The sequence below is a fragment of the Homo sapiens genome, chromosome 7 (assembly GCF_000001405.40).
Source record: "Homo sapiens chromosome 7, GRCh38.p14 Primary Assembly".
Lineage (NCBI taxonomy): Eukaryota > Metazoa > Chordata > Mammalia > Primates > Hominidae > Homo > Homo sapiens.
Window position 1 is genome coordinate 112,205,017 of NC_000007.14, and position 15,720 is coordinate 112,220,736.

Here is a 15,720-nt window from a genome sequence, read left to right on the forward strand (position 1 = left end):
GCTGCAGCCTTGTCGGAGAGCCTGGCTTCTTAATAGTCTCAACCCTAAAAGGAGTAACTGTCAAGGGGCGACCCAGCTGAAATCAAACAACAAAAACGGGAACTGTAACCCGCCTGAAATGGGAGGAGGAAAAGGAAGGGAGACTCCTGTATTCATCAGTCAACATTAATGTCCTTTGTTGTTCACCTTTACACAGAACAGCGAGAGCTATCCTGTTCCTTTTTCTCCGAACGCCAGTGTCAGGGTATGCTTTCCTAAAAGCTATCTCCCTGCCCCCAAGAACCAGGCTTTCCGATCCCCCTCCCCATTTATCACTCAGCAGCCCTGTACCGCCACACCGCCCCCACTGCGCTCACCCGGGGTCGAGAGGGTGGCCAGAAGTAAAAACACTGCTGAAATACCCGTTCTTCTCCAAAGACCAAAGAACCGAGCGGCGCAGATGTTGAAATTTACCAATGCCCCCGCCCCGCAACATACACACCCCATAAATCCGGGATCGCAGAGAGGGAGGAGGGTCAGAGAGGGCTCAGCTTGTCAGAGCGGCTCTCTCCAGGACCCTGCCACATTCCACACTCCGGGAATGTCGATCCGAGCCAGAGGGAAGGGTTTGCGCCTCCCTACTGTTTTGGGGGTGTTCTCTCTGCCCGAGTGTTGTTGTCTCCCTCTCCACCCAGAGGAACCGTTGCAGCTCCCTGTCGCTTTGGGGAAGAAGGGTAAGGAAGGAGAGAAACCCCATTCGCCTCCTCTTCCAACTTGACACACACACACACACACACACACACGCCCAGTCGCCACTCCAAACTCCGCAGGCAGAGCCCGAAGCTAGCGGGCCGGCCGCGCGCTCCCCCAAGCTGTCCCGGCGCTTCGGGAACCAGTGCGGGGCGCGCCGAGCAGGCGGTGCGGGGCGAGAGCCTGGTGCGCAGCCCTCTGCCTGGAGCTGGCTCGGCAAAGCCCCGTACCAGCTGCGCGATGCCAGGATTAGGCATTTTCAACCGGGCGGAGCGAGAGGGGCGCGGGGGCAAGGACGAGAAATGCGCACTCGCTCGGGCCAGAGCAGAATAAAAGTTCGCCCCGCGGAGACTCACCCACGCCGTATTTCTCGTGCTCCGTAGGTATCCACATGGCTAAAGGGGCTCCGGGGTCTTCAGGCTTTGTAATCCCCGCGCCCCTTCTCCGGCTCACAACAATGCACAGTCCCCGAGCAGCGCTGCAGTGCCGGAGCCCAGCGGCTTCGCGCGGGCTGCGGGCGCTGGGCAGGATCTGCGCTGGAGGCTCCCGAGCCCAGCGTTGACACTGCGCCGCCCGCAGCTCTCCCGGCGGCGGCTGCTCACAGTCCTCCGACGCGCTCCCGGGTACCCGGCGGCGCAGTCATTGTTCTGATTCACTGAACTAAGCGAACACGCCGGGGCACTCTCCGGCGCACCCCCGCCCGCCAGCGCCTAGTCCAGCCCTCCCGTCCCAGGGCCCCGCAGCACGCTGGGAATTGTAGTTCTTGGCCTCCCCATCCCGGAAGTGGGCGCGGCAAATGTGGTTCGGGGCGGGGATTCAGTTTTACTGATTGCGTCCTATTGGTCCAGAGCGCGGCGTAGGTGTGGAGAAAACATTACGTCGACGGGGAGTTCGCCTCCAGTAGCGTTTCTACTGGTGCCACCCCGCCTCCGACCCGCCCTGCGGCCCTCCCTTTTCTTTTCTGCCGGGTAATGGCTGCTTCCAAGACCCAGGGGGCTGTCGCCCGAATGCAGGAAGACCGTGATGGGAGCTGCAGCACAGTCGGGGGTGTAGGTTATGGGGGTGAGTACGGTGCCCCGGAGGCGCGGCTGATGTGTCTTCCTTTCTCTATGACCGGGTGTGCAACGGACCTCTGGTCTGACCCTAGGAGCCCTTCAGCTCTGGGGCCACCTGGGTTCGACTGGGCCCCACGGGTGGTGGCCCAGCGGGATGGGTTGGAGCCGGTGGCGGCTACTTGGTTGGGGCTGCCCGGGGATGGCGGAGAAAATGCCATGGGATGGCGGAGAAAATGCCATGGAATGGCCTTCCCCTCCGCCGGGGAAGCTCCCTGAGCGTTTGTCTTCTGGTTTGGAGCTCCCAGCTTTGAGCTAGCTGCTGAGTGGGTTTGGTTCAGATCTGGTTCGCGCGCGTGTGTTTATAATTTTGGGATTAGCAGCTCTTTCTCCTCACCAGTACACTGCCTTGGTTTGCTTGGTTTGACCTCGCAGGTGTGTTTTATTTAGCTTCCGGAGTATTTCCAGTCGCAGACTGGTGGTCACTGCTCTCCACTCTACAGATTTGCCCAGTTTGTGGCTGAGGTGACCTCTGAAGGGAAAGTGTGTGTATCTCACAACCTCCCTGTAGATGGTTAACTGCTCTGGGTGTTCTTCAGATTTGTATGTGGAGCCTGAGAGATCTTCCCAGTCTCTGGGTCCTTAGAGAAAGAAAAGGAAAGTGATAGATAATTTGCACTCGTGGCTTCAAAGAACATTTGAAAAGAGTTTTGAAAACCATCACAACTTTGGCTGTACCTGACTTTCAGGTTGTCCTCTGATCCACTGTAGGAATAAAAAACCAAATTTTGAAAGCTGCAGGTGGATTGTGTTTAGGACTCTTTTACCTTTAGTCTATCCCTCCCCCATTCCCCCCACCCCATTTTTGTCTTGATGTGTAATTTAGCACAAGTTGTCTTTTTCTGATGAACATGGTTTGGGGCTTAAATATAGTTCTCAGACTGTTGCGACTTTGTTTTTCGATTTATTTGTTTTTGCTTTCACAGTTAAATTGATATCATCTTAAGTATTTACCTCAGCGGCACAGAGTTGAAGTGCAGTTTTTTCCCACTTCCCAACAGTGGAACTCCCTACTCTGAAATTATTTTAGTACCTCTACCAAACAAATCTTTGGTAGTCTCCTGAGTTAAATATTGAATTTAACACCCTAATGGTTTATTTTTGGGTTGGTTATATATTGGGCTATCTGATGGTAACAGACTATTACGGTTTCCTAGATTTTCAAAGTTCCAGAGGGCTACCAGTTTAAGATCTAAACTGGTGAATTTATCTCACAGTCTAACTTATTTTAAAAAATGGCCGGGCACGGTGGCTCACCCCTGTAATACCAGCACTTTGGGAGGCCGAGGCGAGTGGATCACAAGGTCAGGAGTTCGAGACCAGCCTGGCCAATATGGTGAAACCCCGTCTCTACTAAAAATACAAAAATTAGCCGGGCGTGGTGGCGGATGCCTGTAGTCCCAGCTACTCGGGAGGCCGAGGCAGGAGAATCCCTTGAGCCCGGGAGGCGGAGGTTGTGGTGAGCCATGATCCACCACTGCACTCCAGCCTGGGAGGCAGAGCAAGACTCTGTATCAAAAACAAAACAAAAAAAAAGGATATGCCTTTCAAAAATGTAAAATATTTAAAAATATTTATTTTTAAATTTTACAAGTTTAAAAGTTTTTAAAAGCACTTCAAACCATTCAGAAGTGTATGAAGTAAAAAAAATGAAAATTCCCTCACCTCACAGCACCACTCCCCGAGTATTAAGTGATAAGAGTTTGGTACATATTCTTTCCAACATATTCTTCTTCTTCTTTTTTTTTTTTTAATCCTACAATCCGTATTCTGTTAAACCACCATATTCTTATATGACACACGTCTGTATGATTTGATTTTTTTTTTTTTTTTTTTTTTTTGAGACGGAGTCTCGCTTTGTCAACCAGGCTGGAGTGCAGTGGCGCGATCTCGGCTCACTGCAAGCTCCGCCTCCCAGGTTCACGCCATTCTCCTGCCTCAGCCTCCCGAGTAACTGGGACTACAGGCGCCAGCCAACAAGCCCGGCTAGTTTTTTGTATTTTTAGTAGAGACGGGGTTTCACCGTGTTAGCCAGGAGGTCTCGATCTGCTGACCTCGTGATCCGCCCGTCTCGGCCTCCCAAAGTGCTGGGATTACAGGCGTAAGCCACCGCGCCCGGCCTATGATTTGATTTTTATAATAAAAAGGGATAAATCTATATAAACTGAAAGATCTGCAACCTTCTTTTTTCTTTCAGCAGTCTATCATAGAAACCCTTCCACGTCAGTACATTTGTTTCCTTTTTTTTTAAGGACTGTGCCCATCATATTCCAAAATATGATTGTGCCATTCTTTATCCATTCCCTTATAAATGAACATATAGTGTGACTTTAGTTTTTCAGTAATGTTGCAATGAACAACTTTATGTACATATATTCTTGCCCACTGGTTGTATATTTTGGGAGAAAATTGCTGGATCAAAGGTTATGCAAGTTTAAAATTTTGACAGATGCCAGACTTTCCTCTTAAAATATATTCAGCATACATTGCCACCTGTAGTATATGAGTGTTCTTTCCCCCATATTGTCACAAACTTTGAGGAAATAATCCAGGACCAATGTTTCAATGACTAGTAGATTGAATTAAGTAACTGATAGAAAGCTTAGTTTTTGATTCCAGTTTGTTTTCAATAAAAGTGTTGAGTAGTAGTGAATTTGCGGTATCTATAACATAAAAAAATTTCTCACCCTCGGTGAGAAATACCCAGTATTCTCATTGACTTGTAGCAGTCAACAGGAGAAATTAATGGTTGATTTTTTATGTCATTTTTATAAGATAAAGTTGTCATTAAAAATTCTGCTTAATAACCTATGTATCATTCTGTTACTTTTTCCAAAATCTTTTCAAAGCCAACAAGGTGTGATATAAATTTTAGGTGTAAATATTTATATTAAAAGTATATTTTTTGTTAGGCAGTCATTTAGGTTATCAAGTATGTCTTTCCCTGTAAAAATCATACACCTTTTTGGATGAGTTCATGTCCTTTGTAGGGACATGGATGAAGCTGAAAACCATCATTGTGAGCAAACTATCGCAAGGACAGAAAACCAAACACCACATGTTCTCACTTATAGGTGGAAATTGAACAATGAGAACACTTGGACACAGGGCAGGGAACATCACATACCCGGGCCTGTCGTGGGGTTGGGGGATGGGGAAGGGATAGCATTAGGAGAAATACCTAATGTAAATGACGAGTTAATGGGTGCAGCAAACCAATATGGCACATGTATACATATGCAACAAACCTCCAAGTTGTGCACATGTACCCTGGAACTTAAAGTATAATAAAAATAAAATTTTTAAAAAACATACACCTTTTTGACTTCTTGAAAACTGCTTCTTTTAAGAGATTTTCTTCTTGCTCTGATTAAAATGTTAGTCTGTGTGTTTAATACCCTGGGACAGTGAGGCCTAGGAAGACTTTTTATAGAAATCCTTGCAATTCCTCAAAATCTCTGCTAGAGTGAGTCAGTGGGTGGGGTGCAGGCAGGTGCAACACTCACTGAGACCACTGTGTTGCCAGACTTCTGTGGCTCCATCCTTCTCCAAGAAAGTCCCCACATTGAGGTCAAGGATTTTTTTGCTTTTTTTGTTTTTGTTTTTTGTTTTTTTTTTTTGTTTTTTTTTTTGAGACAGAGTCCTGCTCTGTAACCCAAGCTGGAGTGGAGTGGCACGATCTCAGCTCACTGCAACCTCCGCCTCCCGGGTTCAAGTGATTCTCCTGCCACAGCCTCCCGAGTAGCTGGGATTACAGGCGTGTGCCACCATGCCCAGCTAATTTTTATATTTTTAGTAGAGACAGAGTTTCGCCATCTAGGCCAGGCTGGTCTCAAACTCCTGACCACAGGTGATCCACCCTCCTCGGCCTCCCAAAGTGCTGGGATTACAGGCGTGAGCTACTGCACCTGGCACACTAGGTCAAGGGTTAAAGGACACTGCTTTACATACATCTGAACAGTAACCAGAATTTCAATTTGTCTCCTAAAATTAAGAACAGATAATAAATAGATTCAGCATCCCTCACGTGGTGTCATTGGCATTTGTTCTTTTGCTGTTTTTAAAAATCAGCAAGGTAGCACAATTCAGTAATAATACATTTAGGAGGCTTTTGTGACTGAGGCTATTTCTTCTGAGTATTAATCTGTATCTCCATATTGTAATATTCTGTCAAAGTCAACTTTTTTCCCTCCGAATGGGTGTTTAGTAGTTGATGATTTTGCTAATGCTTGGATTCTGGACCTTATTATCTGATGATTTTGGTAATGTTTATCTTCCAGAGAACTTACTATCTCATGTGTGATGTCTCTGGAAGAAAGAGGGAAGGGTAGCAGGTGATGTAAACTCCTCATTCTTGTATTTCCTATTTCAATAAATGGCATCAAGTCTAAGCTAGAAACCTAGGAAGCATCCTTGATTCCTAACTCGCCCTCAGGTACTGAATTTGATCAGTTAGCAAGCCTTATTTTTCTGCGCCTGTAGTATATTTTGAACCTGTTCCCTCTATTCATAGCTACAGCCACTGTGCTAATTCCATTACTAACCCTCACCATTACTGCTGAATTACCTACCTGCATCTCCCATGCCCCAGAAAGTGCTCTTGAGAACCAGTTGTATGTGTGTTTGTCAGCCTGATTCTGTTCTTGGCACATTGTTAATGTTTAATAAGTGTTTGACCAGAATGGAATTCTAGCCTGAACGATTGCAAAACCTTCCTGTTGATCTCACTGACTCTTGACTTTACCTCCTTTAATCCACATTGTAAAACAAATATATTCATGGATCTCCACTTGAAATCTTCAGTGTAATTCTGCTACATGTATAATTAGGTCCAAACTCTCTGTGTGGCATTTAAGATTCTAATCTACTTGTCTAGCCTCATCTTCAGTCACCCTGCTTCCTTTCCCATATCTCCATTATCCACTTACCATGTCACACTGTAGTTATTTTTTGGCAACTTTGTCTACCCCAGTGGACAGTGAACTTCTTGAGGTCAAGAGTTGCCTTATTTCACTTTTGTACATCCAGTGTTTATCAAAGCTGCATACAGTAAACATTGTATAACAGTCTAATGTTAGAATATGCTTGAAATTTATTCAAGGCATTTAGAGTGGCTACTATTTTGAGCAGAGGAACTGAAGTAGAATAAAAAACTGAATAGATGTTTTATGCTTGTGAAAGGTATGCATACCAACTAAAATGCAAAATATCAGGAGGATGATATTCTGTCAAGGTGATCATAGTTAGCATTTAAGGATAGTATTTCAGTTTTTTAAAATAAAGTTTTAATGTTGTTTAAATAATAATTACATTTTTTAAAAGAATACTTTAGATCTGGCCTTTATAACTTTAAGCCTGTAACTGAATGACCTACCACATGGACCTTGAATTCTGTCTTTCATCATCTATATGGCTGTTACCAATTTTCTACAGGCTGTCATTCTATTTCTATAAACCATTAAGTCCAGTCTCATATATTTGACATGGCAATGGAAAGAGGACTAGACCTTATTTTGACAAAACGGTATTTAAATTCCAATTCTGACATTTAAAAGCTGTGTAACATAGGTTTATTATATGTGCTGCCACATTTATGAAAATATCCGTATAATACCTGTCTTGCAGTTATTGTGATTATTTCATATTTATATATTTATGAAAGCCTAGCATATTTCCTGTTATAAAGTCAGACCTCAGTAAGTATTAGTTGCTTTCATTATAAAGATAGGCCCAATTATAAAGATCTGCCTGCTCTATCAAGAACTGCCTGCTCTTTGATACTGTATTCACTTAGGAAGCAATCTAAATTGTGGAGTAACCCTGGGGAAGCTTAGGAATGTGTTGGTGATAACTGCTTATGCTGTCAATGCTTTCCTGGAATTTGGGAGTTGTCAGAGTGTCTGTTGGTGCTACATACTAGTATTACAACTATGTGCTCTGCAAGCCTTTATATTATCTTCTGTATCCTCTCTCACTTCTATACAGTGCTACTCTACTCACACCCAGCTCCCCACCCGCACACACACACATTGACACTCAAAGTCATCAAGAAACTCAAGTAACATTGTATACTGGGGTTGCCTCACAAGGTATAGGCCGTGGGATGTCAGAGAAGATAAGAATTATAGAAACTACTCTTGTAGGTCTTGTTTGGTGACATGGTTTGGCTGTGTCCCCACCCAAATCTCATCTTGAATTCCCATGTGTTGTGGGAGGGACCTGGTGGGAGATAATTGAATCATAGGGGCAGGTCTTTCCTGTGCTGTTCTCATGATAGTGAATAAGTCTCATGAGATCTGATGGTTTTAAAAAGAAGAGTTTTCCTGCACAAGCTCTCTCTTTGCTGCCATCCATGTGAGACGTGACTTGCTCTTCCTTGCCTTCCACCATGATTGTGAGGCTTCCCCAGCCATGTGAAACTCTAAGTCCAATTAAAACCTCTTTCTTTTGTAAATTGCCCAGTCTCGGGTATGTCTTTATCAGCAGCATGAAAATGGACTAATACATTTTGTATAAGGTTCTGAAGAGGCCTTATTTAAAGCATTCTTTTATTTTCCTATGACAAATCAATGGGACCCAACTTGTAGGATATTTAGAGAAGAGCTCTTATTAAAAGGGATATAATAATGATGATGTGTATGATAGCTAACATTTTTTTGAGCACTAACTGTGCCAGATACTGTTTCAAATGCTTTTATAGGTATTATCTCATTTCATCTTCATAGCAACCCCTAGGTAGTCATATTACGCTTTTTATGTACAAATGAGGAAACTGATGAAAAGAGTAGCTTGCCCAAAGTCACACAATAACTGAGAAAAGACTTTTATCCTATGCACGGTTGTAATGATGTCTCATAGTAACTAAATTCCATTGAATGAGGTCTGAAACAGACTTTTCTTACACATAAATATGCTCTAAAGCCAATGTTACCATAGAAAGGCAGTATGGAATAGTGAAAAGATTTTAAAATCAGGCCAGCTTAGGATCAGATTCTGGTAAACCTCTGAACTTCAGTTTCTCTTCTGTAAAATGAGTAATACTGTATCTATATTGCTGGGATGTGGAAATGATTAGGTGAGATGATATAATAGTCTGGTCTTCAATTGTGACTGTTATTTCAGTCATAGGTATAGGCACATCTTTGGCATATGTGCCAGAAGTGATACAAGTGGTTTTAATATGTCTTCTGCACTTGAAGAGCAGGTTATTATTGAGGGATTTGATGGGTCAGATACCGAATTACATACACTTATTGTGTTGACCTTGACCTTCCCATTCATGCAAAAGAATAGTGCTGCCCTTTACAATACACACTCATACACTTCCATCTGGAAAAACTGTAAAGAGGATGTCGATCAGATTCATATAATAGAAATCATACTCTCTTCTAAATATAAATCACGAGTATATAGAAACAAGCAATGTGCATAAACTGCTGTCTCCAGTGATTAAATCTTCAAATGTTTCTATTAGCTCTTCTTAGAGAACTTTGCCACAAAATTAGGGTTCAGTTTTGACTTATTTGATAAACTTATCAGACTCTGAATGAGTTGGCTTTTCATTGACAGTACCTTAAAGACTTGCCACCTCATGCTGAAACAAGTATGTTCTACTGACCTACTTGACCCAAAGGTGAGCAGGGCAGCTTTTTTCAGAAGTGGTGATAGATTTGACTGATCAGTCTTCTGTTTTTCTTTACTTCTCACTGATCATCTTTGTAACTAGTGGCATTTATTTGCAACATAGGCAGCTGGGGTTGAATGATATCTTTGGCTATAGGAACCAAGTAAAGTTTTCTAGAGCTAAACAGGATTTAAACCTTTGCTTCATGGGGTGAAGGGAGGTTGGGAAAGAGGGAGTCAACAATTGACAAGTGGTAAAATATTTAAAATTTTATAGGATAATGTGGGATAGTATTAAGCTTTCTCCATGAGTAGCATATTTAAAATAATCAATGTACAGTATTGAATCAGTAAAATATGTAGAAGGAAAAACTGGAATAGGAGTCAGAAGACCTGGATTCTGAATCTGAATTTGTAGCTTTTTAGCAGTGTGAACTTGGGGAAAATCGTTTAACCTCTCTGAGCCTCAGTTTCATCAGGAAAAAAAAAATGATGTTGATATTATTGGGAGGTGTGGTGAGGGCAGAGTATGTTAAAGCACTCTATGAATCTTGAGGCACTATGAAAATATAGGGACAAATGATGCTACTGATAAAAGTCTGTCTCAAGAGGCAGTAGCGAGTACAAGCCCAAGCTTTAGACTTGGATAAACTGGAATCAAAAGGAGCTGTCAGCTAAAAGCTGTATGACCTTCAGCAAGTAATAGGACCTCATTATTACTATTATGGCTGCTGCTGCTGCTACTGCTACTACTACTACAAAAGCTTGGATGTAACTTTAAAATGATTACAAACTAATCAAAGAACATTAAAGCTGGAATCAAGACAAATCCCACATTATACAATATATAAACTCTGTAAGGACAGGAACTGTTAAATATACCTTTAACCTCATCCTCTGGGACAGTGTCATGTTGTGATGGCATTTGGTGGTGTTTGGCAACTGTGAATCAGCGCCATGCTGGGCTCTATATGGGATACAAATGAAGAACCCCTAGCCTTATCCATGTGGACATCTCAGTGTAGTTGGTGGGCTCTGCATCCCTGTCTCACCGGAGCTAATAAGAGAGTCTCTTCTAGTTCCATATAGCACTGTGGGATGAAGTGGATACATTTGATTCTGTGATATGCATGCCTTGCCAGAGGCGCTGAGCATACTAAAGCTTTTACATGTGTTTATTTTTAAAAGAAAGGAAATTCTTGTTTTGCCTCCTTGTTTCTCTAATACTGTCCTCATTTCATGTTTTTTTCTTAACTGAAAGAACTCTCCCCTCCCTGCAAGTAATCACAGAGGCCCTGCCTTTAAAAAACTTTTTTTAGTGTTTTTATCCAAATAGAGAGGTTTGTTTTTTTACTAGTAAAGATCTCAGAATTGTAATCGTGGTTATTTAACACAGTCTTCTGTTATGTAATAAGCTGCTATTCACCAGTAATAGCCAATTAGAAAAGAAAATATCCTGTACCCGCTAATCGTAATTACCATTATAAAGCAATTAATAGCAGAAACTGTTGCTGAACTGTAACATAACATCAATCAAGCTGTCTTTGCCAAGGCACTGTACAACTAATTTTCTCAAATGAAGGAGGAGAAGGGAAGGAAAGGAAGGTGAGAGTCTGCGGGCTTATTTGAATTTCTTTCAAACCAGTTTATGAATGACTTTTGAATGCTCTTTAAATATGCATCCACTCACAAAGGTAAGTAATGCTAATAATGTACTGCGACATTGAGTTATTTTTCCAGCAGCAGTGATCATAGACAGTACAGCTTTGCAAAAAGCTCACTGGACAAGGAATCAGAAGAACTAGGTTTTTTTTGGTTTTGTTTGTTTTTGTTTGTTTTTTGTTTTTTAGACAGGGTCTCACTCTTTTGCCCAGGCTGGAGTGCAGTGGCATGATCTCAGCTCACTGCAACCTCTGCTTCCTGGGCTCAAGCCATCCTCCCACCTCAGCCTCCTGAGTAGCTGATACTACAGGTGTGTGCCACCATGCGCAGCTAAATTTTGTATTTTTTGTATAGATGAGGTTTCGCCATGTTGCCAAGGCTGGTCTCGAATTTCTGAGCTCAGTGATCCGCCCACCTCAGCCTCATAAAGCGCTAGGATTTTAATCCCACTTCTCCTTCCGACTGACTGTGATTTTAGAGAAGTCATTAGCACTCCTGGTTAAGATTTCCTGGTTTGTAAATGAGGGAGTGAGATTATGTTAGCATCCTTTCAACTCCATCTTCCAAATATCAGTAAAAGAAAGAGGAGGTAGGTTTACAGCTTGGGAGCCGACATAATTCAGTCCTAGCATCTGTAAAAAGAAAAAGAAAAATCTGGATATGGCCTGAAGAATTAGTTGCACATGTGTGTGTCATTGATCAGGTGTATCAGGTTAGAAAATTGGCTGAGAACCACTGCAGTAGATGTCTTCTGGGATCCTATACTCTGAGACAATATGGATTGATTATTAGGATGCATCCTATCTCACTCTCCTTTCCATTTGTAATAAACAGTGCAAAACTGAAAGAGCTACTGATAGAACTGAGGTTTCGTTCATTCAAAAATTTTATTTAGCATCTGCTATGTGCAAACTTCTTTATTCTGAATGCTGTAGAATACAAAGATGAGAATAACATTGGTCTTGCCATCAAGGATCTTATGACCTAATAGGGAGGATATAAGAAGTACATATTACAAGGTAGAAAGTGCTGGGGAACATTAGAGTGATATACATAGAGTTATGCAAAAAAGAGATTATTCCCAACAGGTGGTACTGGGCCTTGAAGTTTAATAATATTTGGACATGCAGAAACAAGGAAAAAGTGTTATAGGCCTACACAAAGGGAGGGAGCAATAGAAAAACTAAGGGCATATACAACAAGTATCAAGTCAATACATTTTGCCTAGAGAAAATGATAAGTAAATGGCAGCAATGGAAAAGAAGTCTGGAAATGTAAATTGAAAGTAGATCATACTGTCTCAGATCTTAGAACTTGATTATGCAGACTGAAACTGCCTTTGCAAAAATTATAGCAGAAAAGTATTGTAGTGAGAGACGTCTGACCTAACCGACTCCATCTTGCTTCTAACCTCCAAGCTGCCGGTGTTCATTCCTGGATATGGGCTGAACTAACTTTGGGAGGAGCTTAGTTCATAGTTTAACTTTGAAACAAAGAGATAACAGCCCTTTCCCAAAACAAACCCGCTTCTTGCCTGGCGAGTAGACTGCCTTTTGCAGGACTAACTAAATTAACCACCAGATTAAAAATTATGGTTTAGTAGTCATGCAGCTAGAGGCCACAAGGTTCTAAACCTCCTCAGTTGTTCCTAGGGATAACATCACTATTGTAAAACCTAAGATTAGTGTTTGAGATATTTTCCAGACCCTGCACTCAGTGGGTCAGCTGGTACCACCGTATCAATAAACTGGCTCATCCGGTCTTGTGGCCGCCACCCAGAAACTGACTTAGCGCAAGAAGACAAGTTCGACTCCCTACGATTTCATCTCTGACCTGACCAATCAGCTCTTACCACTTTCTGATTCCCTATCCACCAAATTATCCTTAAAAATTCCGATCCCCAAATTTGGGGAGATTGATTTGAGTAATAATAAAACTCCAGTCTCCTGTACAGCTGGCTCTGCATGAATTAAACTCTTTCTCCATTTCAGTTCCCCTGTCTTGATAAATTGATTCTGGGCAGTGGGCAAAATGAACCTATTGGGTCTTGAAACTTTGAAGAAAAGGAATGACAAGATCAAAGTTTAATCAGGTAACAATGTACTGGAGGGGGAAAGTTAAGTCAGGAGTCCTTGCTAAAGCAAGAGTTAATGAAGAACCACAATAGACTTCAGTAACTTGCCGTTGTTTTTTGTTTCGTATTTTAGAATTTTTTAATTGACAACTAAAAGTATGTATTATGTACAGCATGATGTTTTGATATATGTATTAATATACACTGTGGAATGGCTAAAATAAGCTAATTAACCTTGCATACTTACCATTTTTTTGTGGTGAGAACATTTAAGATCTACTCATAGCAGTTTTCAAGTATACATTACAGTGTTATTAATAATAGTTACCCTGTTGTACAGCAGATCTCCTGAACTTTTTCCTGACTGAAATTTTGTACCTTTCGACCAACATCTCTCCAATCTTCCCCTCCCCCTAGCCCCTGGTACCTATCATTCATTGTACTATCTGCTTCTATGAATGTGACCATTTTAGATTTCACATACAAATAAGATCACACAGTATGTGTCTTTTTCTCTCTGTCTTATTTAACTTCGCATTCTCCAGGTTCATTCATGTTATCACAAATGGCAGGATTTCCTTCTTTCGTAAGGCTGAATGATACTGTATTGTGTATATATATGCACCACATTTTCTTTATCTGTTCATCCATTGATGGACACTTAGCTTGATTCTTTATCTTGGCTATTGTGAATAATGCTGCAATGAACATAGGAGTGCAGATATCTCATAGGCACACTGATTTCATTTTCTTCAGTTATGTACCCAGAAGTAGATTCATTGGATCATATGGTAATTCTATGTTTAATTTTTTGAGGAACCTCCATGCTGTTTTCCATAATGGCTATATTACTTTACATTCCCACCAACAGTGTACAGAGTTGCCTTTTCTCCACACTCTCTCCAATGCTTATCTCTTGTCTTTTTGGTAATAGCCATCCTAACAGGGGATATCTCTTCATGATTTTAATATGCATTTCTCTAATGATTAGTGATGTTGAGCATTTCTTCATATACCTGTTAGCTTTTTCCTTTAGTTGCCTGTGCTTTTGGGGTCGTGTACAAAAAATCTTTGGCCAGACTAATGTCAAGAAACTTTTACCCTATTTTTTCTTCTAGGAGTTTTACAGTTTCGGGTCTTAGGTTGAAGCCTTTAATCTACTTTGAGTTGATTGTTATATAGGAGGTGAAATAAGGGTTCAATTTCATTCTTCTTTATGTGGATATCCAGTTTTCCTTACACCATTTATTGAAGAGATTGTCCTTTCCCCCATTATGTATTCTTGGCACCCTTATCAAAGATAAGTTGACCATAAATGCACATATTAATTTCTGAGTTCTCTGTTCTGTTTCATTGGTCCGTGTGTCTATTTTTATGCCAGTACCTGGATTTTTGGATTTTGTTTTCATTTTGAGATAGAGTCTCACTCTATTATTGCTCAGGCTAGAGTGCTGTGTCTCCCACGCTAAAGTGCAGTGGCACAATCACGGCTCACTGCAGCCTTGATCTATTGGGCTCAAGCAATCCTCCCACCTCAGCCTCCTGAGTAGCTGGGATTACAGGTGTGCACCATCACACCTGGCTAAATTTTAAAATTTTTTGTAGAGGGAGATCTCACTATGTTAGCCCAGTCTGGTCTCCAACTCCTGGGTTCAAGCAGTCCTCCTGCCTTGGCCTCCCAAAGTGTTGAGATTACAGGTGTAACCCACCAAACCCAGCTGCTATGCTGTTTAGATTACTACGGTTTGGTAGATTTTGAGATCAGGTAGAGTGATGCCTCCAGTTTTGTTCTTTTTGCTCAACATTGCTTTGGCTATTCCTGGTATTCTGTGGTTCCATATGAATTTTAGGATTGTTTATTCTGTTTCTGTGAAAAATGTCATTGAAATTTTGTTAGAGATTGCATTGAATCTGTAGATCACTTTGAGTACTGTGGACATTTTAATATTCTTCTAATCCATAAGCATGGCATATCTTTCCTTTTATTTGTTTCCTCTTCAATTTCTCTCATCAGTATTTTATAGTTTTCCCTGTACAGATCTTACAACTCTTTGGTTCATTATTCCTAAGTATTTTTTTTTTTGGCAAGATTGTAAATGGTATTTCTTTTTTAATTCGTATGTTAGTGTATAGAAATGCTGATGATTTTTGCCTGTTGATTTTGTATCCTGCAACTTTACTGAGTTCGTTTATCAGTTCTAACAGTTTTTTGGTAGAGTCTTTAGGGTTTTCTGTATATAAGAGTATGTTGTTTGTAAACAAAAAAAATTTAACATTTGATTGTGATGGCTTATCCTTGTCTAACTGTTCTGGCCAGGGCTTCAATACTGTGGTGAATAGAGGTGCTGAGCATGGGCATCCTTGTCTTGTTCCCTATTTTAGAGAAAAAACTTTTAACTTTTCACTGCTGAGTATGTTAGCAAGGCCTTATTCAGAGACAGGACTAGCTGGATTTCCTAGGCCGACTAAGAATCCCTAAGCCTAGCTGGGAAGGTGACCACATCCACCTTTAAACATGGG

At 41.6% G+C, this 15,720-nt stretch overlaps 2 protein-coding genes across 15 annotated transcripts in view, besides 2 other annotated features; one reads left to right on the top strand and one right to left on the bottom strand.

The window, feature by feature from the left end:
- DOCK4 (dedicator of cytokinesis 4) overlaps positions 1 to 1,383 on the bottom strand; it is a 480,290-nt gene extending 478,907 nt beyond the window's left edge. For 4 of the 12 annotated variants that reach the window (XM_047421081.1, NM_014705.4, XM_006716189.3 and 1 more), the window contains exon 1: positions 1,086 to 1,383. In XM_047421081.1, coding sequence (XP_047277037.1) covers positions 1,086 to 1,122 — 37 coding nt within the window. In that variant the 5' untranslated portion in view covers positions 1,123 to 1,383. Of the gene's footprint in view, positions 1 to 356; positions 1,053 to 1,085 lie in introns of those variants that run through there. The other 8 variants (XM_017012825.2, XM_017012821.2, XM_017012823.2 and 5 more) reach the window with 4 other exon arrangements.
- Positions 1,255 to 1,604: a silencer, noted in NCBI's record as "silent region_18544". NCBI's record gives its function as "represses an Ori minimal core promoter by ATAC-STARR-seq in GM12878 lymphoblastoid cells {active_cell/tissue: GM12878}" and the evidence as "EXISTENCE:reporter gene assay evidence [ECO:0000049][PMID:35858748]".
- ZNF277 (zinc finger protein 277) overlaps positions 1,679 to 15,720 on the top strand; it is a 137,240-nt gene continuing 123,198 nt past the window's right edge. For all 3 annotated transcript variants that reach the window (NM_021994.3, XM_011515768.4, XM_017011720.3), the window contains exon 1: positions 1,679 to 1,791. In NM_021994.3, coding sequence (NP_068834.2) covers positions 1,701 to 1,791 — 91 coding nt within the window. In that variant the 5' untranslated portion in view covers positions 1,679 to 1,700. The remainder of the gene's footprint in view (positions 1,792 to 15,720) is intronic.
- Positions 1,775 to 1,894: an enhancer, noted in NCBI's record as "active region_26510". NCBI's record gives its function as "activates an Ori minimal core promoter by ATAC-STARR-seq in GM12878 lymphoblastoid cells {active_cell/tissue: GM12878}" and the evidence as "EXISTENCE:reporter gene assay evidence [ECO:0000049][PMID:35858748]".